The 27,553-nt window shown below is 39.0% G+C and overlaps 1 protein-coding gene across 10 annotated transcripts in view; it reads right to left on the reverse strand.

Moving 5' to 3' along the window:
• Positions 1–368: 368 nt before the first annotated feature.
• The window catches only part of ZNF569 (zinc finger protein 569), a 58,109-nt gene continuing 30,924 nt past the window's right edge, over positions 369–27,553 (reverse strand). For 8 of the 10 annotated variants that reach the window (XM_006723048.5, XM_011526538.4, XM_047438278.1 and 5 more), the window contains 3 exons: positions 15,464–15,590; positions 15,080–15,175; positions 369–3,631 (listed from right to left, as the gene is read on the reverse strand). In XM_006723048.5, coding sequence (XP_006723111.1) covers positions 1,809–3,631; positions 15,080–15,175; positions 15,464–15,590 — 2,046 coding nt within the window. In that variant the 3' untranslated portion in view covers positions 369–1,808. The remainder of the gene's footprint in view (positions 3,632–15,079; positions 15,176–15,463; positions 15,591–27,553) is intronic. The other 2 variants (XM_017026379.2, NM_001330482.2) reach the window with 1 other exon arrangement.

The raw sequence follows: 27,553 nt of genomic DNA on the forward strand, positions 1-27,553 counted from the left end.
CCAATTATCCCAATAATAAAATAATTGTTTTGTTTCTATACTCAACTAGAAAAAAATTTGAGTTTAAAATTAAAAATTGGCCTCAAATAAATGCGAAAATACTGCTGATTTTATTATTCCAATTAACATGAAGAGACAGTAAACAAAATAATACCTTGTCAGGTATGTTTTGTGTAAAGACAATCTTCTATAAATGTTAGTATCTGATCAAGAATAAAAATCCATTTTAAAATTATTTCTCCAGGCCCAGGTTTCCCCCACCCATTTGATTCTTATTTTTGAGAAATTAGGAAAATAAAAGCAAGAAAAAACAATTTTAAAAACCCATATAATTAATTTGGACAACCAGATTTGTCACCACTGTCATATTTGCTTTCACTCTTTTATTAAAGAAATATTACAGATAAATATAACAACTCCCACCAAACCTTTCCCACATCCCAAAAGGCAACCAAGTCATATATGGATCCATGACCAATACACAGTACTGTTCTTTGCAAGATCTTATTAAATTATACAAATGTTATACTGTGTTCCTTTGTGCATTTTAATTTTTTCTCTCAATATTATATATTGTAATCTATCCATATAACTATAGGTAGATTTTGTTTCTAAATTCTGTATTTTATCACAGAAATGATCACACTTATTCATCTATTCCACAATTGATAAAAATTTGTTATATCCAATTTTGGGCAATACAAACCATGATTCAGGAACACAGTGATATATATCTCTTTGTGTACATTTGTGGGTGCCTGTGAGGCCAATACACCAAAATTCAACAGACTATTCCATGTTTACATGTTTTTTAAAGAAATCTTGTTACCCTAAAGTAACGGATTCTACTTTCATCATAGTTTTAAAATTTTGCTTTTTATATTCTGGTCTTTAGTTGGATTTTATTTTTGTATATGATATAAAGTAGAAAGCTAAAATTTTTCTCCTATGAACCTTCCATTTATTAAATAAGCCATTCATTCCCCAGTGATTTCAATAGCACTGTCATACACAGAATTCCTGTATCTTCTTGGATTTTTGTATGAATGCTCACTATCTTACTACTGCTTGATTTATTCACTTGGTAATACATTGTTTAAATGACAGCAGCTTTAAATAAGTACATGATATATCTAATAATAGAGTGTGTCTTCTCTACTTGCTTTGTCAAGTTTGTTTCAGCTATTTGTGTTTCTTTACTTTTCCACATAAAATTTTTGGATAAGTTTGTGAAGTTCCTTAAAATAAAACTGATGTAAACTTCAGAAGTATATTAAACTTAGTGATTTGGGAGAGAAATTATATTTTTACAATGTCAAGTCTTTTCAGACAAAATATCATTTTTCAGGTGTTCTTTTGTGCCTTTCAACATATTTTATAACTTGATAAAGACCTAACTCATTGTTGTGTTTATTCTTAGGTTTTCTATCAACACATTTTCTAATTATTTCTTGTATAAAAGTTATTTTTATAGTTCTTCGTTGATACTTGTTTTCCTTACTTAATACATTGGCTAGGAGCTCAAGTGTTGTGTTGTTATGCTGATGGAAGATACCTTGTTTCAGATTTCAATGAGAATGCTGATTAAATATTATCAATAAGATGTCTGCTGAAAGTTTCTGGTAACAGCTTTTTCATTATATAATTTGTCACCTTGGAAGAATTCTCTAATGTTTCATAAATTTGTGGCTTTTTCAGAAGGCTATCCCACATTCATAGTTTTCTACTCTGGAAGTGATCATGTAATGTGCAATGAGGTGTTAATTCCTTCAGATGGCCTTGCCATATTCACAATATTCATAGGGTTTCTAATGAGTATGAATTCTCTGGTGTCTAACAAGGTGCGACTTTTGGCTGAAAGCCTTGCCACACTCAATACAGTGATAGGGCTTCTCACCTGTATGTTTTCTCATATGAAGGGTAAGAGATGAGATTTGAGAGAAGGCTTTTCCACATTTACTACAGTCGAAGGGTTTCTCACCTGTATGTCCTCGTATATGTATAGTAAGGGATGAGCTTTGGGAGAAGGCTTTTCCACATTTATTACATTCATAGGGTTTTTCACCTGTATGGCCTCTCATGTGCACAATAAGGGAAGTTCTTTGAGAGAAGGCTTTCCCACATTCATTACATACATAGGGCTTCTCACCTGTGTGACTTCTCATATGTAAATTAAGCAGTGAGCACTGAGAGAAGGCTTTACCACATTTATCACATTCATAAGGCTTTTCCCCTGTATGACTTCTCAAATGAAGGGTAAGGGATGCAATTTGAGAGAAGGCTTTACCACATTCATTACAATCATAAGGTTTCTCTCCAGTATGAACTTTTTGATGTGTAATGAAGTTTTGCTTTTGGCTGAAGGCTTTACCACATTCATTGCATTCATAGGGTTTCTCTCCAGAATGAATTTTTTCATGAGCAATGAGATTTGATTTCTGGCTAAAGGCTTTCCCACATTCCTTACATATATAGGGTTTTTCCCCAGTATGAATTCTCTGGTGTCTAACAAGATTTGACATCTGTATAAAAGCTTTCCCACATTCATTACACTCATAAGGTTTCTCTCTAGTATGAATTTTCTGGTGTGTAATGAAGTTTTTCTTGTGGCTGAAGGCTTTTCTGCATTCCTTACATTCATAGGGTTTCTCACCAGTGTGACTTCTCATATGTACAGTAAGGGCTGAGCTTTGAGAGAAGGCTTTTCCACACTCATTACATTCATAGGGTTTTTCACCTGTATGAATTCTAACATGTATAATAAGCATGGAAAACTGAGAGAAGGCTTTACCACATTTATCACATTTATAAGGTTTTTCTCCTGTATGACTTCTCATATGAAGAGCAAGGGATGCAATTCGAGGGAAGGCTTTACCACATTCATTACATGCATAAGGTTTCTCCCCAGTATGAACTTTCTGATGTGCAATGAGGCTTTGCTTCTGGCTGAATGCTTTTCCACACTCATTACATTCATAAGGTTTCTCTCCAGTATGAATTTTTTCATGATCAATAAGATTTGATTTCTGGCTGAAGGACTTCTCACATTCCTTACATGCATAGGGCTTCTCTCCAGTATGAATTCTTTGATGTCTAATGAGATTTGACATTTTAATGAAAGCTTTACCACATTCATTACATTTGTAAGACTGCTCCCTACTGTGAATTTTATAATGTTTAATAAGTTTTTCCTTGTGACTGAAGGCTTTTCTACAGTTACTACATTCATAGGGCTTCTCTCCAGTATGAATTCTCAGATGTCTGATGAGGTCCAAAGTCTGATTGAAGCCTTTTCCACAATGATTACACTTAAAGGGGGTAATGACAAAATGGGATGAGCTATTACCATATGATTTCACAGGTTCATTATATTCACAATGCTCCTTTCTCATAAGGCATTTCACATTATTATGACAGTCAAAATTATGTTCTAAACACTTTCCAAATAAGTCATACTCATAGAGATTGTGTCTGGAAGGGAAAAAATCAGAGTTCAGAGGAAATACATTTGCAAATTTCTTTTGACATTCATTGCCTTTTTCTTCAGTCAGTGTTTTCTGGAATTTAACTTCAACTTGTCTCAAAAGTCTGTCCTGGTTTTTCTGATGCTCATCAACTCCCCATATTTCTCCTAAAACAGATTGCAAATAAATATCACTTACAAATTTTTTTCCAATATTGTAATATGAAGAACATTTTGAAAAATATGCAATTATGGGACTGATTATTGGTTTAAGCCCTACTCTCCCACTATTAAAACATTTTCAACTGCATATATCTCTTATCTCTGAAGTTCTGAGAAGGAAATTCAGGAAAGGAAATATGAGTAGAGGCATATATTTATAAATACAAATAGCTTTGATTGCTTTAAAAAATGATCTGATAGAAAACAAATAGGTAAATAAATAGGAAATGCAGAATGTACAAATGAAGTAAGAAGAAATAATGATAGAGAAAAAACAAAAACAGGAAGCTAAAAAGTATAAGATCATTTTGCGGGACTCTATTAAAATACATTTTTATAATCTAAACACTTTTCTGGATTGTAAATTACTAAAACTGACACTACAAGATGCAAAAAACTTATCTAAACCAATTTCCATAAAATGAAAAGAAATATGAAAAGTAATTCCCTAAAACAAAAAGGAAAAACCCAGAGATCCACATGAAAATTCTAACAGATTTTAAAGGACAACTCCTATGCTGTCTAAAATGTTGTGAAAGAAAAAAGACAAAAATTCCTGATGTTTTTGTGTATGAAACATATATTAATACCAAAACCTGACAAAGATGACACACCAAAAAAGCAAACTATCCGATTTCATTTATGAAAACCATTGTAAAAATTCTATGTAAAACATCAAAATGACCCAAAAGGAAAAAAGTGACCCAGAAGCACATTAAATATAAAATATATCATATTTGAGTTGAGTACATTTTTTCCAGGGATACGTTTCGATAATAGAAAGTATATTACTATAAATAAATTAATGAAAAATGTCAAGTAATGACATTTGAAAAAATGAAAAAATCAAGTAATCATTTCTGTAGATATTAAGATAATAAAACTCAACATCTATTTTTCATTTAAAAATCCTTTATATAAAATAGGAACAAATAACATTTAATTTGAGAATAAAGTACAGTACAGCCCAAACACCAGCACTTTACTTAATGGAAAACATCCAGAAGCATTCACATTAAAGTCAGAAATAAGAAAAGATGAGTTGTCACCACTCATTGCAGTACTAGGTAGTACAATTAAATAAGAGAAATAAATCAGAGGTATGAAAATTAAGAGGCCGGGCGCGGTGGCTCATGCCTATAATCCCAGCACTTTGGGAGGCCAAGGCGGGCGGATCGCGAGGTCAGGAGATTGAGACCATCCTGGCTAACACAGTGAAACCCCATCTCTACTAAAAATACAAAAAAAAAAAAAAAATTAGCTGGGCATGGTGGCGGGCACCTCTAGTCTCAGCTACTTGGGAGGCTGAGGCAGGAGAATGGCGTGAACCTGTGAGGTAGAGGTTGCGGTGAGCCAAGATCACGCCACTGCACTCCAGCCTGGGCGACAGAGTGAGACTCTGTCTCAAAAGAAAAAAGAAAAAGAAAAAAAAAAAGAATATTAAGAAAAGAGTTGCCCCTCTTTTCTTAATTAAAAGGCGTGAGTGCAGTGGCTCACGCCTGTAATCCTAGCACTTTGGGAGGCTGAGGCAAACAGATCTCTTGAGCTCAGGAGTTCAAGACCAGACTGAGCAACATGGCAAAACCCCATTTCTACAAAAGATACAAAAATTAGCTGGGTGTAGTGGTGCAAGCCTATAGTCCCAGCTACTAGGGAGGCTGAGATGGGAGGATCACCTAAGCCTGGGAGGTTAAGGTTGCAGTGAGCAGAGATCACCACTGCTCTCTAGCCTGGGGGAAAGATTAAGACTGTGTGTCAAAACACAAAACAAACAAACAAAAAAACAAAAAAACAAAAAAAAAAAACAGGAAAAGAAAATGAAAATTAACATTATTTGTCAGAAACAAAACTGTTTACCTGAAAAATCAAGTCATCTGAACAATTGTGAAAAGTAAGAAATTCACTACATATGAATTGATATTTATTTTTAAAAACCTTCATATACAAACAACTACAGTCATCCCTCATTATCTATTGGGGACTGGTTCCAGGACCTCCCGTGGATACCAAAATCCATGGATGCTCAATGCCTTACATAAAATGATAAAAGTATTTTCTTATAACTTATGTGTATCTTTCTGTATACTTTAAATAATCTCCAGATTACTTATAATACTGAATACAATATAAATGCTATGTAAATCATTGTTATACTATAATTTAAAATTTGTATTATTTTTTATTGTTGTATTGTTATTTTTTGTTGCTTTTTTCCCCTGAATATTTTCAATTTGTAGTTGCAGAAAGCATGGATAGAAAGGGCTGACTATATTTAGAAATTATAGAATTAAAAACTACATTTACAATGACAACAAAAAGTATGAAAAATATACAAAAATAAAAAATGTCCAAAAACCATATGAAGAAAAGTTTAAAATGAACACACAGACTTGAACAAATAGAATGGTGTTATGGATTGAATTGTGTTATGGATTGAACTGAAGTCCTAACTCCTAGTGCCTCAGAATGAGGCTTCATTTAGAAATAGGGTCATTGAAGATGAAATTAGTTAAGATGAGGTCAAACTGGAATAAGAGAAGCCCCCATGCGATACGACTCGTGTTCTTAGAAGAAGAATGCTACATGAAGAGACAAGAGACATGGAAGAAATGCCATGTGAAGATGGAGAGACAGAGTAGAGTTATGCTGCCACAAACCAAGGAATGTCTGGGGATACCAGAAGCTGAAAGAGGCAAGGAAGAATCCTTCCCTACAGGTTTCAGAGGGAGTATGGCCCCACTGACACCTTGATTTTAGATTTCTGGCCTCCAGAACTGTGAGAATAGTTATTTTTTTTATTTTTTAGAGACAGAGTCTCACTCTGTAACCCAAGCTGGAGTGCAGTGGTGTGATCTAGGCTCACTGCAACCTTCGACGCTGGGGTTCAAAAGATTCTCCTACCTCAACCTCCCAAGTAGCTGGGACTAGAGGCGTGGTTAATTTTTTTGTATTTTTAGTAGAGATGGGGTTTCACCATGTTGCCCTGGGTGGTCTTAAACTCCTGAGCTCAGATGATCCACCCGCCTCGGCCTCTCAAAGTGCTGGGATTACAGGCGTGGGCCACCACACCTGGCCAATTCCTGTTATTTCTAAGTTACCCAGCTTGTGGTACTTTGTTTCAGCAGCCCTAGGAAACTAAGAAAAAGGCATTAAAGCATTTTAGACAAGAAAATTCAATGGCATAAAGATGACATTCGTAAGTTAATATATCAGTTTAAAGCGGTTTCAATAAAAATGTTTGAAAATAGCTCAAAGGAAAATGATACTGGGGGTTGCCACCATAGAAGGGAAAAATGTGTAAGAGAAGAATTACTTTTCAACATATATCCTTTTGTACTTTAAAAGTTCTGTTCTGGCCGGGTGCGATGGCACACGCCTGTAATCCCAGCAGGTTGAGGCATGTGGATCATGAAGTCAGGAGTTAAGAGACTAGCCTGGCCAACATAGTGCAACCCGGTCTCTACTAAAAATACAAAAATTAGCCAGGCATGGTGGCACGTGCCTGTAGTCCCAGCTACTCGGGAGGCTGAGGCAGGAGAATCGCTTGAACCTGGGAGGCGGAGGTTGCAGTGAGCCAAGATCGCGCCACTGTACTCCAGCCTGGGTAACAGAGTGAGACTCCATCTCAAATAATAATAATAATAATAATAATAATAATAATAAAATAAAGTTCTGTTCTATGAGTATGTGTTTATATCCAGTCTAAACAAATAAAATTGTTCTGAACACTGCAATAATCAATAAAATGAGAAGAACCAATAGGAAGGTTAAAAACTGGATGACGGAATTGGAACATAAAACTGGAGAGGCCCACCTAGGTTAATTGTATAGGGGCAAATATAGTGACCATAGGGAAAAGAAATAGTAAGAAGTTGAGGTTAAATATGGTATAATAAATACATGAGTTTAGCTCAGATTCTATCCAAAAGTGCACAAATATGGTATCATTTAAAAGGCATAAACCAACGAAGACAAAGACCATAACAGACAACAATGGATGATAGATGTAAACATAATTTTAGCAGATGGAAGAAGATGAAAGGACTATTATCTAACAGAAGAACCGAGAACGCTAAAACCCATGTGCCTGCAGACGAAGATGTCAAAAAGCAAGTTCCTACTATATAACTAAAGAAAGGCTGAGAAATTAGAGAAGTCATGCACCATGAAAGGTGGGAATGAACAGGGGCCCTAAAAAATAACAAAATTGAATGGAAGTCTGTAAGGCAAACAATTGCCTGCACTGTGCAATGAGGTACCTATCACTCCCAAGAGAAGATGGGAAGACTACTCTCTGCTTCTGGAGAAATGGAACCAGATAGACTCTAGAGTCAGGGACACCAGGCAGAAGACTACAGGGAACCTAAACTGGCTCAAACAAGGATATCAAGCAAAAGTTTACGTACTTAATAAGGCTGAGATGTTCAGTTCCCTATTGCTGCTTACTTCCAATAGGAAAATGGAAATTTTTCTCCTCTCTGCCAGCATCTGTTATTTTTTGACTTTTTAATAATGGCCATTATGACTGTTGTGAGATGGTATCTCATTATGGTGATTTGGATTTCTCTAACAATCAGTGATATTGAACTTTCTTTCATAAGCTTCTTGGCCATATTTATGTCTTGAAAAGTGTCTGTTCATGTCCGTTTAATAGGGCTGTTTTTTTCTTGTAAATTTAAGTTCCTTATAGATGCTGGATATTAGGACTGTGTCAGATGCATAGTTTGCAAATATTTTCTCCCATTCTGTAGGTTGTATGTTTACTGATAGTTTACATAAATGATAATCTTGACTAAATATATTACAACGAATATACAAAAAGATAATAAATTAAAATCTACAAATCAATAATTCAAAATAGAAACACAGGCATACTTCAGAGATACTGTGGGTTCAGTTCCACACCACCACAATAAAGCATGTCACACAACATTTTTGGTTTCCCAGTGCATATAAAAGTTATGTTGGCTGGGTGCGGTGGCTCACGACTGTAATCCCAGCACTTTGGGAGGCCGAGGTGGGTGAATCATTTGAGGTCAGGGGTTCAAGACCAGCCTGGCCAATATGGTGAAACCCTGTCTCTACTAAAAATTCAAAAAAATTAGCCGGGCGTGGTGGCAGGCGCCTGTAATCCCAGCTACTGGGAGGCTGAGGCAGGAGAATCGTTTGAACCTGGGAGGTGGAGGTTGCAGTGAGCCGAGATCATGCCACTGCACTCCAGCCTGGGTAACTAAGAGAGACTACGTCTCAAAAAAAAAAAATTTAATACTATATACTTAGTCTATTACGTATATAACAGCATCATGTCTAAAAAATGTACACCTTAATTTTAAAATATTGCTTAAAAATGCTAACAATCATCTGAACCTTCAGTGAGTCATAATCTTTTTGCTGATAGGTGTCTTCCTCAATCTCAATGTTGATGGCTGCTGACTAATCAAGGGGGGATTACAGAAAGTTGGGGTGGCTGTAGCAATTTCTTTTTTCTTTTCTTTCTTTTTTTTTTTTTTTTTTTTTGAGACAGAGTCTCCCTCTGTCGCCCAGGCAAGAGTGCAGAGGCTAGAGTGCAGTGGCTCGATCTCTGCTCACTGCAACCTCTGCCTCCCAGGTTCAAGCGATTCTCCTGCCTCAGCCTCCTGAGTAGCTGGGATTACAGGTGTGCGCCACCACGCCAGGCTAATTTTTTTTGTGTTTTTAGTAGAGACGGGGTTTCACTATGTTGGCCAGGCTAGTCTCGAACTCCTGACCTCGTGATCTGCCCACCTCGGCCTCCCAAAGTGCTCGGATTACAGGTGTGAGCCACTGCGCCGGCCCCAATTTCTTAAGATAACAATGAAGAGTCACATTGATTGACTTTTCTTTCACAAAAAGTTTCTCTGTGGCATGTGATGTTGTTTGATAGTACTTTACCCACAGTAGGACTTCTTTCAAAACTGTAGTCACTCCTCTCAAATCCTACCACTGCTTTATCAATTATATTTATGGAATATTCTAAATCATTGATTTCCACAATTTGCACAGCATCTTCACCAGGAGTAGATCCTAAAGAAATGACTTTCTTTGTTCACCCATAAGAAGTAATCCTTATCCCTGCAATCACGAGACTGCAGCAATTCAGTCACATCTTCCGGCTCTACTTCTAATTCTACTTCTCTTGCTAGTTGCACATCTACAATTACTTCCTCCACTGAAGCCTTGAATCCTTCAAAGTCATCCATGAGTGTCGAATGAACCTCTTTCAAACTCCTGTTGATATTCTGATCTCCTCTCCTGAGTCATGAATATTCATAATAGCACCTGGAAACATAAATCCTTTCCAGCCAGTTTTTACACTTTTTAATTTACTTTACCCAGATCCATCAGAGGAATCATTACCTATGGAAGCTATTACATTACAGAATGTATTTCGTAAATAATAAGACTTGAAAGTCAAAATTACTGCTTGATCCATGAGCTGCAGAATGGATGTTGTATTAGCAGGCATGAAAACCAACACTGATCTCCTTGTACATCTCCATTAGAGCTCCTGGGTGACCAAGTGCACTGTCAATGAGCAATACTATTTTCAAAGGAACTTTTTTTTCTCGTGAGCAGTAGGTATCAACAGTGGGCTTAAAATATTTAGCAAATCAATGCTGTAAACAGATGTGCTGTCGTCCAGGCTTTGTTATTCCATTTATAGAGCACGAGCAGGGTGTATTTAGCATAATTCCTAAGGGCCCTAGGATTTTCAGAATGGGAAATGAATACTGGCTCCAACTTAAAGTCACCACCTGCATTAGCCCATAACAGGAGGGTCAGTCTGTCATTTGAAACTTTGAAGCCAGCCACTGACTTCACCTCTCTAGCTGTGAAAGTCCTAGATGGCATCTTCTTCCAATAGAAGGCTGTTGCATCTACATCGGAACGCTATTGTTTAGTTAGCCACCCTCATCAATAATCTTAGCTAGATCTTCTGGATAATTTACTGCAGCTTCCATCGGCTCTTACTGCTTTACCTTGTATTTTTATGTTATGGAGATGGCTCTTTCCTTAAACCTTATGAACCTACCTCTGCTAGCTTCAAACTTTTCTTCTGCAGCTTCCTCACCTCTAAGCCTTCATAGAATTGAAGATAATTAGGGGCTTGTCCTGGATTATGCTTTGGCTTAAGGGAATGCTGTGGCTGGTTTGATCTTCTACCCAGACAACTAAAACTTTCTCCCTATCAACAATAAGGCTATTTTGCTTTCTTATCATCTTATCATTTGTGTGTATACTGTAGTGGCACTTTTTTTTTTTTTTTTTTTTTTTTGAGACAGGGTCTTGCTCTGTCACCTAGGCTGGGATGCAGTAGTGTGATCTCAGCTCATTGCAACCTCCACCTCTTAGACTCAATCAATCCTCTCGTCTCAGCCTCCCAAGCAGCTGGGACTACAGGCATGCACCATTACATCCGGCTAATTTCTGTATTTTTAGTAGAGACAGGGTTTCACCATGTTGCCCAGTCTGGTCTTGAACTCCTGGGCCCAAGCAATCCACCGGCCTCAGCCTGCCAAAGTGTTAGGATTACAGGCGTGAGCCACCACACCTGGCCAGCACTTTAAATTTACTTCAAGAACTTTTCCTTTGCATTCACAACTTGGCAAACACAAAAGGCTTTGCTTTTGGTCTATCTTGGCTTTTAACATGCTTTCTTCACTAAGCTTAATCATTCCTAGCTTTTAATTTAAAGTGAGAGATGTGCGACTCTTCCTTTCACTTGAACACTTAGAGGTCATTGTAGGGTTATTAATTGCCCTAATTTCAATATTGTTGTGTTTCAGGGAAGAGAGAGACCCAGAAAAAGGGAGAGAGACGGGAATGGGTGGTCAGTAGAATAGTCAGAACACATACAACATTTAACATCAATTAAGTCTGCCATCTTACATGGATGAAGTTTGTGGCACCCCAAAACAATGACAACAGTAACATCAAAGATCACTGATCACAGATCCCCATAACAGATAATAATATAATGAAAAGGTTTGAAATATTGCAAGAATGTGACACAGACACACACAGTGAGCACATGCTTTTGGAAAAATGGTGCCAATGGGCTTGTTCGATGCAGGGCTGCCACAAGCCTTCAATTTATAAAAAAATGCAACATTTGCCAAGCACAATAAAATAAAGCATAATAACATGAGATATGCCTGTATAAATGCATGAGGAAGAATCATTGAGAAAACAGAAAGGGTATAAAATTTTACCAGCAGAACCAAGGAAATAATTGGAAGAGAAAAAGAAAACCACCATTGAAATGAAGAATATTATGGTGCGGGGGGAATAGAACTTTCACCATTAGAATTACGGTACAGCAATGTCACACTGCAAAACAAGGTAATGGATAAGACAGACATTCTGATGCATCACTGGGTCTACAGGACATAGCACAAACCTCCAAGAATACCTCTCTACCCACCTATCCCACACAAAAAATAAACAATAGGAAAACAAGCAACTGTTAGCTAAAATCAGAGAACACTACAAATAATTTCATACCAAAACATTTGAAAATACAGATGAAACAAATTTTCAAATATAATAGATGATCCTGGAATATCAATGTGTGGTAACTTTTTACAGATACAGAGGAAATTTTAATATTTATGGAAGTTACTTTGTCAACTCTGAAAATTTGAAGACTAGAATTAAGTGGGTAATTTCATGGAAAAATACAACCTATTATCAAAAACTAATGCCAAAAGACAAAAATATATTTACATACACATAGGATAGTTATAAAAGGAAAAATGAAAAGAGTTGTCAAGGAAACTTCCCTCAGAAATACACAAGGTCGAAATAGTTCAACAGGTAACATCTACCAAATTTTCTAGGGAGTTTTAACACTAATGCTATATAAATGCTCTAGAGCATGAAGGAAAGCTTCCAAATTCTATTTATAAAACCAGTCTAACATTGACATTAAAAACTTTAAAAGTATAAACAATTATTTAAATTCATAGCAAACATAAGAGGATGAGTCATTATTGAGAAATATCTAAACATAATTGAACCATATACATTTTAAAAATTGTGATAATCTCCTATAGGAACAGATTGTTTTAACTACATGAATTATTTTAAAAAGTCGAGGTGGCAAAAAAGTACTTCAACGAGGAATAATCTCTTTGGGAAAAAAACACAAGAAAAACATATGACAGATGATGTGCCAATCAGCTCAATATGTTAAGAGTTCATACAAATTAAGAACTTGACAGAAACAAGGGCAAAGGATACCAACTGTTTATTAAAACAAAGAAATATAGATTGGAAACATGAAAAGATGCTTGCCTTCACTCATCATAAAGGAAATGTAAATTCAAGCTATAATTAGCTACCATTTTTCACCTCAGTTTGGCAACGATTTTTTTAAATGCTAACAGACTACACTGGTTGAAGTTACTGGTGGAAATATAAATTATTACAGTCTCTTTGGAGGGCAAAAATGACTTTATAAAATTCAAAATACGTGTATATGGACATATATATGTATATGTATATATGTATATGTGGGTATATATAGATGCACACCTACATTACATACACTTGCATATGTACATGACAAATATATCAGAAAATGGGAGCTACCAAAAAATCAGCACTGACTTAAAACTTTTATTGAAATAAAGGGTGGTAGTGATTATTGAAGTATGAGAGTAAAACCTAAAAATACAGTGGGAAGTATGACTGTACGACATTTCAGACATTTACAATGGAAGAAAGAAGAGAAAGTAAGGGACTATAAATGTCAGTAGGTTTGATTTAACAACTGCAAATTAGTGAATGTATGCAAAAAGAAAGGATCCTGTATATGAGGGTGGATGGTACTCCCGAAGATGCTAATAATAGAATGAATATCAAAGTAAGCCTGGAAACTTATTAGGAAAGGTTGGTATCTAGCACACAGGTAAGAAAGCCAACCAGATCTCTAAGTTCTGAGGAAAGAAATTAAGAATGGTATCTAGAAATGACATCTTAGGTTTATAAAAGAGTTTGCATCAATGGTCACTTTTGTACTACAAAAGTGTACATCAGGCCAGGCGCGGTGGCTCACGCCTGTAATCTCAGCACTTTGGGAGGCTGAGGTGGGCGGATCACTTGAGGTCAGGAGTTCAAGACCAGCCTGGCCAACATAGTGAAACCCCATCCCTACTAAAAATACCAAAAAGTTAGCCAGGCATGGTGGTGCATGCCTATAGTCCCAGCTACTCGGGAGGCTGAGGCATGAGAATCGTTTGAACCCAGGAGCCAGAGGTTGCAGTGAGCCAAGATTGCACCACTGCACTCCAGCCTGGGTGACAGAGTGAGACTCTGTCTCAAAAAAAAAAAAAAAAAAAAAAAAGCCGGGCATGGTGGCTCATGCCTGTAATCCCAACACTTTGGGAGGCCAAGGCAGGCAGATCACGAGGTCAGGAGATCAAGACCATCCTGGCTAACATGGTGAAACCCTGTCTTTACTAAAAATACAAAAAATTAGCAGGGTGTGGTGGCACGTGCCTGTAGTCCCAGCTATCAGGAGGCTGAGGCAGGAAAATCACTTGAACCTGGGAGGTGGGGGTTGCAGTGAGCCGAGATCGCGCCACTGTACTCCACAGTGACAGAGTCTCACTCTGTCACACACATACACACACAAAAGGTCTACATGCTTTCTGAAAATATATATATATTTTTTGAGACAGGGTCTCACTCCGTTGCCTAGGCTAGAGTGCAGTGCTGTGATCATGGCTTACTGTAGCCTCAACCTCCTAGGCTCAAGTGATCCTCCCACCTCAGCCTTCCAAGCAGCTGGGATCATAAGCGTATGCCACCACACGTGGCTAATTTTTTTTTTTTTTTTTTTTTTTGACAGAGTCTTGCTCTGTCGCCCAGGCTGGAGTGCAGTGGCGCAATCTTGGCTCACTGCAACCTCTGCCTCCCGGGTTCAAGCGATTCTCCTGCCTCAGCCTCCCAAGTAGCTGGGACTACAGGCGCGTGTCACCACGCCAAGCTAATTTTTTGTATTTTTAGTAGAGATGGGGTTTCACCGTGTTAGCCAGGATGGTTGTGATCTCCTGACCTCATGATCCGCCCACCTCGGCCTCCTAAAGTGCAGGGATTACAGGCGCAAGCCACTGTGCCAGGCCCAATTTTTCTTTTCTCTTTTTTTTTTAAGAGATGAGGTCTCACTATGTTGCCCAGGCTGGTCCCAAACTCCTGGACTCAAGCAATCCTTCCACCTTGGCTTCCCAAAGTGCTGGGACTATAGGTATGAACCACTGTGCCAACCTCTGAAAATATCTTTGAAGAATATTTTAGAGGGATCAACCATTCACTGATTAATCATTAATAGGCCCTGACCTCTCCTCACCTGTCTGGTTCCCTTCCACTAACCTTGCCAGTGTCTCCTTAATACTTCTTCCTCCATCACCCATGGTTCTTCTTCTTGCTCCAATTTGAAAATCACATCAGGTTTGGTGAACGGATAGCCTGTCAAAGGGAAGTTACATAGATTTGGGCATACATACTAGGAACAAAGAACCACCCAAAAATTGAGGCTGGCCCAGGAAAACCAGGCTAAAGGACAAGAAAATGTGGCTTCGGGGGTTCTGTCCCCTTTTGCTCTGAAAACTGCAGCATGGACATTCACATGAGCAAAAGCATCCCAAGGCCAAGCTCACTCTAATATTTAAAAGGTCCATGTATTTCAGAAACACTGGGAGGAAAAAAAAGGTACTTTCTTTCCAGAGTTTGAATTATATAGTAAATTACTCTTACCTACTGTGATTAAGTTGTTATAGTTTTCTAGCATCACATTCCGGTACAGTTTTCTCTGAGCAGGATCCAATCTCTTCCACTCCTCCTGAGTGAAGTCGATAGCCACATCTTTGAATGTTACTGTTCCCTGTAACAACACACTCCCACTCAATCTGAAGTCATCCATCTTGGGTGATTGTAAACAAAATATATTGAACCTTGTTCTGATATTAATCAGAGGTTATTAAAAAAGCCCATCATATTAGCAGCATCCTGTCATTTATGTTCATTCACTGATTAGCAAGCACATGTCTTTAATATCTACCATGAGTTAAAGGGGAGATTTTAGGTACCAATTTATATTGAGTGTGAAAGAAACATAAAAATAAAACTTTAACCAAGTTAAGTGGTTTGAGATCTCACAAGATACCAAAGGCAGGAAAAAATGAAAGCAAGGCTTAGATGGAAGCAGAAGCAGGGGACAGAATGATAGGTGAAATCTGTGGTATGGTGGGACATGCAACTGGAGATAGCCACTGATTTAGCAGTTGGATGTATTGTTCATGAGATCAGGAGAAATCCACATTGGAAATGAAGATTTATGGGTCATCAGCCTGTAGTATGTGTCTGCAGCCATGAAAATGGGATCTGATTGTTCAAATAGTTTACATGTACTGGAAAAGGGGCCACAGATAGAATCTCAGAGACAACCATGAAAAAACACATGCCCTGATGACAATTTGTTTTTTAATGGTCAGAAATAGAATTATAACTGAAACTGTGTATTTAAAAAGCTGTAGAATGGCTGGGTATTACATGGCTCATGCCTGTAATCCCAGCACTTTAGGAGACTGAGACGTGAAAATCCCTTGAGCCCAGGAGTTTTGAGACGGGCCTGGGCAATGTGGCGAAACCGTCTGTACAAAAAATACAAAAATTAGCCAGGTGTGGTGGTGTGCATCTGTAGTCCCAGCTAGTCAGGAGGCTGAGGTAGGAGGATTGCTTGAGCCCGGGAGGTGGAGGTTGCAGTGAGTCGTGATTGCACCACTACACTCCAGCCTGGGTGGCAGAGCAAGGCCCTGTCTCAAAAAAAAAAAGCTATTGAATGAATTTCAAAAAAACTGGTGAACTTCTTAAAGGCAATGTGATTTGAATATAGAAATCTAATGCACTCTTCCTAGTTCAAAACAGAAATGCCCAAACGTATATGAACATAAGAAAAAATCTTAAATAGCACTCAGCCTGGAAAAAAGGGAGCAATCCATATTTCCTACTGTTTCAGGAATTTCTACCAGAAACTAGGTGAGAAAAAAGAAAGTCTCCAATAGCTCGTTCACAATGTATCTAAGAATTTGTTTCTAGGTCCTAAAAGGAACTTATGAGCATGAACATCCATTAACACTAAGGGCTCAGAGAAAGCTGTGGTACTGATGGGAGATCAGCTCCTGAAAGCCCTTCCTGCTGAAAATCATGATGCTTGCAATAAACATGTTCAAGAAGCAAAAGGCAAAGTGTCAGAGGAAAAAAACCCTGAAATCCAGGGGTTTTTAATATTTCCCCTCATCTGGGAGGAAGATCCAAATAAGCCTGGATAAAGCATTTGGTGAGGAAGTGGGACTGAGGAGAAAGCATGATGTGGAAATCTGGCCCTGGTATAATAGTTTCACCAATTACAGGGAAGAACATGAGCACATAAGAAACACACTCTTGCTGGGACTACCTCAGCTGCAGACTTTTTCCTCAGGAAGTTGTATTTTCTTCAGGAGGTCAGATCATTAAACTAGTAAATAAATTTTAAAAATCAGCACCAAAGATTTTACAAGAAAATCCTAATTGCCCCTAGCTCAAGAGTGAGAGAATCCCAAAAGAAATCATTAAAATACATTTGAAGAAAATACTTGGGAAAAAGAATTTAGTAAATGCAAAAACAGAAACAATTTAAAGTGAAAAATTTAGAACTTACATATACACAAATCTCCATATTTAAAAGCTGGAGCTAGGCGCGGTGGCTCACGCCTGTAATTCTACCACTTTGGGAAGCCGAGGTGGGAGAACTGCTTGAGGCTAGTTCAAGGCCAGTCTGGGCAACATAGCAAAACCTCATCTCTACAATAAATGAATGAATGAATGAATGAATGAATGAATGCCGTGTATGGTGGTGCGTGGCTATAGTCCCAGCTACTTGGGAGGCTGAGGTGGGAAGACTGCTTAAGCCTGGGAGTTTGACTGCAGTGAGCCATGATCTCACCACTGCATTAGAGCAGCCTGGGCAATAGAACAAGACCCTGTCTCTTAAAAAAAAAAAAAAAAAAAAAGCTGATAGTTTAAGAAGAATGAATTAGGCAAATGTTTAGTAAGTTTAAGGAAGAAAAATAAACATCCCAAATTAGGAAAAAACATTAAAACTAATTGATATTTAAAGTAGTATATATCTGTGGTTGAATTTTTTTTTTTTTTTTTGAGATAGAGTCTCGCCCTGTTGCCCAGGCTGGAGTGCAGTGTGGCGTGATGTTGGCTCTCTACAACCTCCGTCTCCTGGATTCAAGTGATTCTCCTGCCTCAGTCTCCCAAATAGCTAGAACTACAGGCGTGCGCCACCACACCCAGCTAATTTTTGTATTTTCAGTAGAGACGGTGTTCCCATGTTGGCCAAGCTGGTCTCTAACTCCTAACCTCAAATGATCTGCCTGCCTCGGCCTCCCAAAGTGCTGGGATTACAGGTGTGAGCCACCACACCCAGCCTGAAATTTTTAAATTCATAATGAAATGAATAGGTTAAAGGGAAACATAAGCCTAAGACTGATCTTAAAAAAAAGAAGAAAATCCCAACAGTGCAATACTATAGCACCCACTGTTATTCTTCTATTCCAATATTTATTCTGTCTTCCCAATTTCTGGCCAGGCACATGGTCTGCTGAAATAAGTATTAATATGTTTATATGATAATGTTCTGGACAGTGAGATGAAAGGACTGCATGCAACTGCTGATAAGTGAACATAAAGGCACGAGGTATACCATTTCTCCTAAGCTTCTACCTTCCTGTAGACTGGTAAGTCAATGCGACTTACCAGAGTCGAGAGCAAACAGAGCCATTTGAGATAATAAGGCAGAAGCCAACAACCAAGAATGGCAGAGCAATGAAGGAGAAAGAGTTTCGTTCTCTGCCCTTTGGAGCTACAGGACCAGCCTTGAACTTCAATATGAGAGACAAATAAACTTATGTCTTGTTTAAGCAAAGGTTATCTGGGCTTTCTATCACAGGCAGTCAAGTGTAATACTAACAGATTAATATGTTCATGCCAGATCTGGCCATCCTTTGGCAGCTATGAAGGGATGGTGCTCGAATCCTCTTTAAGGGAATCCACTGTGAGAAGCATAGTTGGCAAACAGCCTCCAGCTGCTCCACTTTCATGCTGAGGTCATGACACCCCAACACTGCTTCCAGCCACAGGCTCAGCATAGTGAGGCTATTAAAGTCTGGACTATTACACTTGATATGGTTTTCCTCTAGTGGGAAAGCTTTGGTCAGCAACTCCCCTTTGGCCTGGCTGAGACTTTCTCACAACTTCAGGATGGTCTGAGTTGGCAGAAAAAAGTATTAGTAAACTTGAAGACAGATCACTAAAAATGATGCAATTTGAAGAAGAGACAGAAAAAAGGATGTAGAAAAATGAATACAGGCTGGACACAGTGGCTCACGCCTGTAATCCCAGTGCTTTGGGAGGCCAAGGTGGGAGGATCACTTGAGGCTAGGAGTTCAAGATCAGCCTGGGCAAGATGATGAGACCCTATCTCTACCAAAAAATTTAAGAAATCAGCTAGGTGTGGTGGCACATGCCTATAGTCCTAGCCACTCAGGAGACATTGGTGGGAGGATTGATTTAGCCCAAGAGTTCAAGGTTACAGTGAGTTATAATTGTGCCACTGCACTCCAGCCTGGGTGACAGAGTGAGACCCTATCTCAAAAAAAAAAAAAAGAATATAGACTCAGAAATGTGAGCTAGAGCAATAAGTGCATTAACATATGCATAATTTAAGTATAAGTTAGAGAGGAGAGAGAAAAGGACAGAAAAAATCAAAGAAATAATGGCTGAAAACTTCCCACATTTGATGAAAAACATTAATGTACATATTCAAGCTCAATGAATTCCAAGTAGGATAAACGCAACAAGGTACACACCTAAACACATCATAGTCAAAATGTTGAAAATAAATATAAAGAGAAAATCTTGAAAACAGCAAGGGAAAATAATTCATTATCTTCACCAACCACAATAAAACTAATAGCTGACTTCTCATCAAACACAATGGAGGACAAATAGCAATGGGACAACATATTCAAAGTTCTGAAAGAAAAAAAAAACTATCAGAGAGGAAGTAGGGAAAGAGGGCCCAATAGAAGCCTCCACCGATCATACTCCCCACAGGAACACCAAATTGAACAACTATCCACACAAAAAAGCACCTTCATCATAACCAAAAATCAGGTCAGCAGTCACAGTATCTGGTTTTAACTTCACATCACTGAAAGAGGCACTGAGGAGGGTAGGAAAGACAGTCGTGAATTGCTGATCGTGAATTGCTAACGCCATCCCTCCCCTATTCTCCGGCAGTGGCCATATGGTTCTGAGAGAGAATCTGTGCACCCGCAGGAGGGAGACCAGAGTGATTGCAGGACTTTTCATTGGAACTCAGTGGTGCCCTGTCACAGCAGAAGGCAACACCAGGGAGAACCCAGTTGGTGCCCACACCAGAAGTATTTGGACCAGCCCCAGCCAGTCTAGGGGAATTGTCCATTGTAGCAGTAGGAACCTGAATTCTGGCAAGCCTCACCACCATGGGCTAAAGGGCTCTAGGATCCTAAGTGAACTTGAAAGGCAGTCTAGGCCACAGGAATTGCAATTCCTGGGCAAGTCCTGGTGCTGTGCTGGGCTTGGAGCCAGTGGACTAGGGGGTCATGGGACCCAGTGAGACACCAGCCAGGGTAGCCAAGGGAGTGCTTGTGCCACCCTTTCCCTAACCCGAGGTAGTGCAGCTCGCAGCTCCAGGAGAGACCCCTTCCTTCCACTTGAGAAGAGGAGAAGGAAGAGTAAAGAGGACTTTGTCTTGCACCTTGGATACCAGCTCAGCCACAGTATGATAGGGCACCAGGCAGAGGCCCCCATTCCATGCGCTAGCTCCTGGATGCAACTTCTACACACACCCTGGACCAGAAGGGAACCTGTTGCCTTGAGAGGAAGAACTCAGTCTTCGCAGCATTTATCACCTACTGACTAAAGAGCCCTTGAGCCCTGAACAGTCAGCAGTGGTAGCCAGGTAGTACTCACCATGGGCCTTGGGTGAGACTCAGAGACATGCTGGCTTCAGGTGTGACCCAGCACATTTCCCGTGTGGTGGCTACAAGGAGAGACTCCTGCTTGAGAAAAGGAGAGGGCAAAGTATAGGGAACTTTGGTACCAACTTGGCCACAATGGGGTACAGCACCAAGTGGGTTCTTGGGGTCCCCAATTCCAGGCCTTGCCTCTTGCATGGTATTTCTGGACCTGCCCTGGGCCGAAGGGGAGCTTGCTGCCTGAAGGGAGAATCCCAGGCCTGGCAACATTCACCACAAGCTGACTGAAGAGCCCTTGGGCCTGGAATGAACACTGGCGGTAGCCAGGCCATACTTGCCATGGGCCTGGGTCAGTGGTAGCCACGGGGAGAAATTCCTCTGCCTGTGGAAAGGGGAGGGAAGAGTGGGAAGGACTTTGCCATGTGGCTTGGGTGCCAGTCCAGCCACCGTAGAATACCAAGTACATTCCTAAGGTTTCTGACTCTAGGCCCTGGTTCCTGGATGGCATCTCTGGACCTGCCCGTGGCTGGGGGGAACTTGCTACTCTAAAGGGAAGGAAACAAGACTGGCTGGCTTTGCCACCTGCTGACTGTAGAGTGATAGGGCCTTCAGTGAACACAGGTGATAGCCAGGCAGTGGTTACTGTGGGCCTTGGGTGAGACTCAGTGCTGTGCTGGCTTCGTCTGACCCAGCGCAGTCCCAGTGGTGGTAGCCACAGGGGTGCTTGTGTCACCCCTCCCCTAGCTCCAGGCAACTCAGCACAGAAAGACTCTGGGAGAAAGTAAGACAACAAGAGTCTCTACCTGGTAATCCAGAGAATTCTTCTGGATCTTATCTAGGACCATCAAGGTGGTACCTCTATGATTCTGTAAGAGCCACAGTGTTAACTGGGCTTGGCATGCCCCCTGATGCAGATATGGTTGCAGTGACCAAAAACTTAGATCACAACACCCAAGTCCCTTCAAATACCTGGAAAGTCTTGCCAAAAAGGGCAGGTATAAACAAGCTCAGACTGCTAAGACTGCAATAAATACCTAACTCTTCACTGCCTAGACATCAACAAACATTCACAGGCATTAAGACCATCTAGGAAAACATGACTTCACCAAATTGAACTCAGTACCAGGGACCAATCCTGGAGACACAGAAATCTGTGACCTTTCAGATAGAGAATTCAGAATAGCTGTTTTCAGGAAACTCAATGAAATTCAAGATAACACAGAGAAAGAATTTAGAATGCTATCAGATAAATTTAACAAAGAGACTGAAATAATTCAAAAGAATAGAGCCGAAATTCTGGAGCTGAAAAATGCAACGGACAAACTAAAGAATGCATCAGTCTTTTTTTTTTTTTTTTTTTTTGAGACAGAGTCTCTGTAATCCAGGCTGGAATGCAGTGGTGTGATCATGGCTCACTGCAGCCTCGACCTGCCAGGCTCAAGTGATCCTCCTACCTCAGCCTCCCAAAGAGCAGGGACCACAGGTGCATGCCACCATACCTAACTAAGTTTTTAATGTTTTTGTAGAGATGGTAGTCTCACTACGTTGCCCAAGCTGGTCTCAAACTGGTCTCAAACTCCTGGGCTCAAGTGATCCTCATGCTTTGGCCTCCCAAAATGCTAGGATTGTAGGCATGAGCCACCACCCCCAGTCTGTTCAGTCACTGAACAACAGAATTGATCAAGCAGAGGAAAGAATTAGTGAGCCTGAAGATAGGCTATTTGAAAACACACAGTAAGAGGAGACAAAAGAAAAATGAGTAAGAAAGAATGAAGCATGCCTGTAAGATCTAGAAAATAGCTTCAAATGGGCAAATCTAACACTTATTGGCCTTAAAGAGGAGGTAGAGAGACAGGGGTAGAAAGTTTATTCGATGGGATAACAATAGAGAACTTCCCAAACCTAGAGAAAGATATTGATATTCAAGTACAAGAAGGTTATAGAACACCAAGTAGATTTAAACCAAATAAGACTACTTCAAGACACTTAATAATCAAACTCCTAAAGGTCAATGATAAAGAAAGGATCCATTTAAACACAGCAAGAGAAAAGAAACAACATACCAATGGAAGCTCCAATATGTCTGGCAGCAGACTTTTCAGTGGAAATTTTACATGCCAGGAAAGAGTGGCACGACATATTTACAGTGCTGAAGGAAAAAAACTTTTATGCTAGAATAGTATATCTGGTGAAAATAACCTTCAAACATGAAGGAGAAATAAAGGCTTTCCCAGACAAACAACAGCTGAGAGATTTCATCAACACCAGACCTGTCCTACAAAAAAATGCTAAAGAGAGTCCTTCAACCTGAAAAAAGGACGTTAATGAACAATAAGAAATCATGTGAAAGTACAAAATTCACTGGTAATAGAAAGTACACAGAAAATGCAGAATGTTATAACACTGTAATTGTGGTGTGTAAACTACTCATATCTTGAATAGAAAGACGAGAAGAAGGGCTGGGTGCAGTGGCTCACACCTGTAATCCTACCACTTTGGGAGGCTGAGGTGGGCAGATCACGAGGTCAACAGATGAGACCATTCTGGCCAACACTGTGAAACGCCATCTCTACTAAAAATACAAAAATTAGCTAGGCATGGTGGCACATGCCTGTAGTCTCAGCTACTCAGGAGGCTGAGGCAGGAGAATCGCTTGAACCCGGGAGGCAGAGGTTGCAGTGAGCCGAGATTGTGCCACTGCACTCCAGCCTGGTGACAAGAGCGAGACTCTGTCTCAAAAAAAAAAAAAAAAGGAAAGATGAGAAGATGAATCAATATAAATACATCAATAACTAAAACAATGTTTCAAGACACAGTACAATAAAATATAAATAAAAACAGCAGGTTGGGCACAGTGGCTCACGCCTGTAATCCCAACCCCTTGGGAGGCCGAGGCGGGCAGATCACAAGGTCAGGAGATCCAGACCATCATGGCCAACATGGTGAAACCCTGTCTCTACTAAAAATACAAAAAAATTAGCTGGGCGTGGAGTGGCGCAAGCCTGTAGTCCCAGCTACTCGGTGTCAAGCCTCTGAGCCCAAGCTAAGCCATCATATCCCGTGACCTGCATGTATACATCCAGATGGCCTAAAGCAATTGAAGATCCACAAAAGAAGTGAAAATAGCCTTAACTGACGACATTCCACCATTGTGATTTGTTTCTGCCCCACCCTAACTGATCAATGTACTTTGTAATCTCCCCTACTCTTAAGAAGGTTCTTTGTAATTCTCCCCACCCTTGAGAATGTACTTTGTGAAATCCACCCCCTGCCCGCAAAACATTGCTCCTAACTCCACCACCTATCCCAAAACTTACAAGAACTAATGATAATCCCACCACCCTTTGCTGACTCTTTTTGGACTCAGCCCGCCTGCACCCAGGTGAAATAAACAGCCTTGCTGCTCACACAAAGCCTGTTTGGTGGTCTCTTCACACGTGCGCGTGTGACACTTGGGAAGCTGAGGCAGGAGAATCGCTTGAACCTGGGAGGCGGAGGTTGCAGTGAGCTGAGATCACGCCACTACGCTCCAGCCTGGTGACAGCGAGACTCCATCTCAAAAATAAATAAATAAATAAATTAAAAAGTAAAAACAGCAAAAAGTTAAAAAAGCAGGGGGACAAAGTTAAAGTGTAGAGTACTAACTTTCTCTTGGCCTGTTTGTTTATGCAATCAGTGTTAATTTGTCATCAGCTTAAAGTAATATGTTATATTATTTGCAAGCCTCATGGCAACCTCAAATCAAAAAACATACAACAGATACATAAAAAGTAAAATGCAAGAAATTAAAACATACCACTAGAGACAACCACCTTCCCAAAAAGGAAGACAGGAAGGCAGGAAAGGAGGAAAAGAAGACCACAAAACAACCTGGAAATAACAAAATAGCAGGACTAAGTCCTTACTTATCAATAATAACATTGAATGTAAATGGACTAACATTTGAATGTAAAGCTCTCCAATCAAAAGACAGAGTGGCTGAATATATTATAAAAACAAGCAAACAAACAAACAAAAAAACAAGACCCAAAAATCCATTGCCTACAAGAAACACACTTCATCTATAAAGACACACATAGACTGAAAATAGATGGAAAAATATATTCATGCAAATGGAAACCAAAAAAGAGCTGGACTAGCTATAGACAAAATAGACTTCAAGACAAAAACTATAAAAAGAGACAAACAAGGTCATTACATGATGATAAAGGGGTCAATTCAGCAAGAGGATATAATAATTGTCAACATGTATGCACCCAATGTTGGAGCACCCAGATACATAAAGCAAATATTATTACAGTAAAAGAGAGAGATAGACCCAATAGAATAATTGCTGGAGATTTCAACATTCTACTTTCAGCACTGGACAGACTATCCAGATAGAAATCAACAAAGAACTATCAGACTTAATCTGCACTACAGATCAAATGGACATAATAGATATATACAGACCATTTCATCCAATGGCTGCAGAATGCGCATTCTTTTCCTCAGCACATAGATCACTCTCAAGCATAGACCATGTTAGGCCATAAACCAGTCTTAAAACATTCAAAAAATTAAAATTATATAAGATATCTTCTCTAACCACAATGGAATAAAACTAGAAATCAATAAGGAGGAATTTTGGAAACTATACAAACACAGAAATAAAACAACATGCTCCTGAATGATCACTAGGTCAATGAAGAAATTAAGAAGAAAATTTAAAAGTTTCTTGAAATAAATGATAATGGAAACACAACACATCAAAGCCCATGGGATATGGCAAAAGCAGTACTAAAAGGAAAGTTTATAGCTATAAGCACCTACATCAAACAAGAAGAAAAACTTCAAATAAACAATTTAATGATGCATCTTAAAAGAACTAGAAAAGAGCAAACCAAACTCAAAATTATTAGAAGAAAATAAATAATAAAGATCAGAGCAGAAATAAATGAAATGAAGAAAATGATACAAAAGATTAACAAAATAAAAAAATCAGTTTTTTAAAAAAATGAAATCAGCAAACTTTTAGCTAGACTAAGAAAAAAAGAGAAGACCCAAATAAGTAAAATCAGAGATGAAAAAAGAGACATTATAACCAATACTGGAGAAATTCAAAGGATCATTAGAAGCTACTGTGAGCAACTATATGCCAATAAATTAGAAAACCTAGAAGAAATAGATAAATTCCTAGAAAATACAACCTACCAAGATTGAACCATGAAGAAATCCAAAACCTGAACAGACTAATAGCAGGTAATGAGATTGAAGCTGTAATAAAAAGTCTCCGAGCAAAGAAAAGCTCAGAACCCAATGGCTTCACTGCTGAATTTTACTGAACAATTAAAGAAGAACTAATACCAATCCTAATTAAACTATTCCAAATAATAGAGGAAGAGGGAATACTTCCAAACTCATTCCAGGAGGGCAATATTACCCTGATACGAAAACCAGACCAAGACACATCAAAAAAAAAAAAAAAAAGAAAGCTACAGGCCAATATCCTTGCTGAACATTGATGCAAAAATCCTCAACAAAATACTAGCAAACTGATTTCAGCAACACATTAAAAAGACAATACATCATGACCAAGTGGGATTTATCTTAGAAATGCAAGGACGGTTAAACATGCGCAAATGAATCAATGTGATATATCAGATCAAGAGAATGAAGGACAAAAACCATATGATCATTTCAACTGGTGCTGAAAAAGCATTTGATAAAATTCAACATCCCTTCCATGATAAAAACCCTCAAAAACTGAGTACAGAAGGAACATACCTCAATACAATAAAAGCCATATATGACAGACTCACAGCTAGTATCATACCGAATGGGGAAAAACAGAAAGCCTTTCCTTTAAGATCTGGAATATGACAAGGGTGCCCACTTTCACCACTGTTATTCAACATAGTACTGGAAATCCTAGCAAGAGAAATCAGATAAGAGAAAGAAGTAAAGGGCATCCAAATTAAAAAAGAAGTCAAATTATCCTTGTTTGCATGTGATATGATCTTCTGTTTGAAAAAACCTGAAGACTCCAGCAAAAAAAGTACCAGAACTGATAAACAAATTCAGTAAAGTTGCAGGATACAAAATCAACATAGAAAAATCAATAGCATTTCTATATGCCAACAGCAAACAATCTGACAAAAGAAATCAAGAAATTAATATTTTCAGTAGCTAAAAGTAAAATCCCTAGGAGTTAACCAAAGAATTGAAAGATCTCTACAATGAAAATTATAAAGCACTGATGAAAAAAATTGAAGAGGACACACACAAAAAAATGGAAAGATAGTCCATGCTCATGGGTTGGAAGGATCAATATTGTTAAAATGTTCATACTACCTAAAGCAATCTATAGATTCAATGCAATTGTTATCAAAATACCAATGACATTCTTCACAGAAATAGGAAAAAATGCTAAAATTTATATGCAACCACAAAAGACCCAGAATAGGCAAAGCCATCCTGAGCAAACAGAAAAAACTGGAGGAGCCTGACTTCAAATTATACTACAAAACTACAGTAACCAAAATAGCATGGTACTGACATAAAAGTAGACACATAGGCCAGGAAGGGTGGCTTGTGCCTGTAATCCCAGCACTTTGGGAGGCTGAGGTGGGAGAACTGCTTGAGCCTGGGAGTTTGAGTCCTGGGCAACATAGTGAGACCTTGTCTCTACAAAAAAATAAAAAATTAGGCATGGTGGTGTGCACCTGTGGTACTTGGGAAGCTGAGGCAAGAGGATTACCTAAGCCCAGGAGGTCAAGGCTACAGCAAGCCATGTTCA

The sequence above is a fragment of the Homo sapiens genome, chromosome 19 (assembly GCF_000001405.40).
Source record: "Homo sapiens chromosome 19, GRCh38.p14 Primary Assembly".
Lineage (NCBI taxonomy): Eukaryota > Metazoa > Chordata > Mammalia > Primates > Hominidae > Homo > Homo sapiens.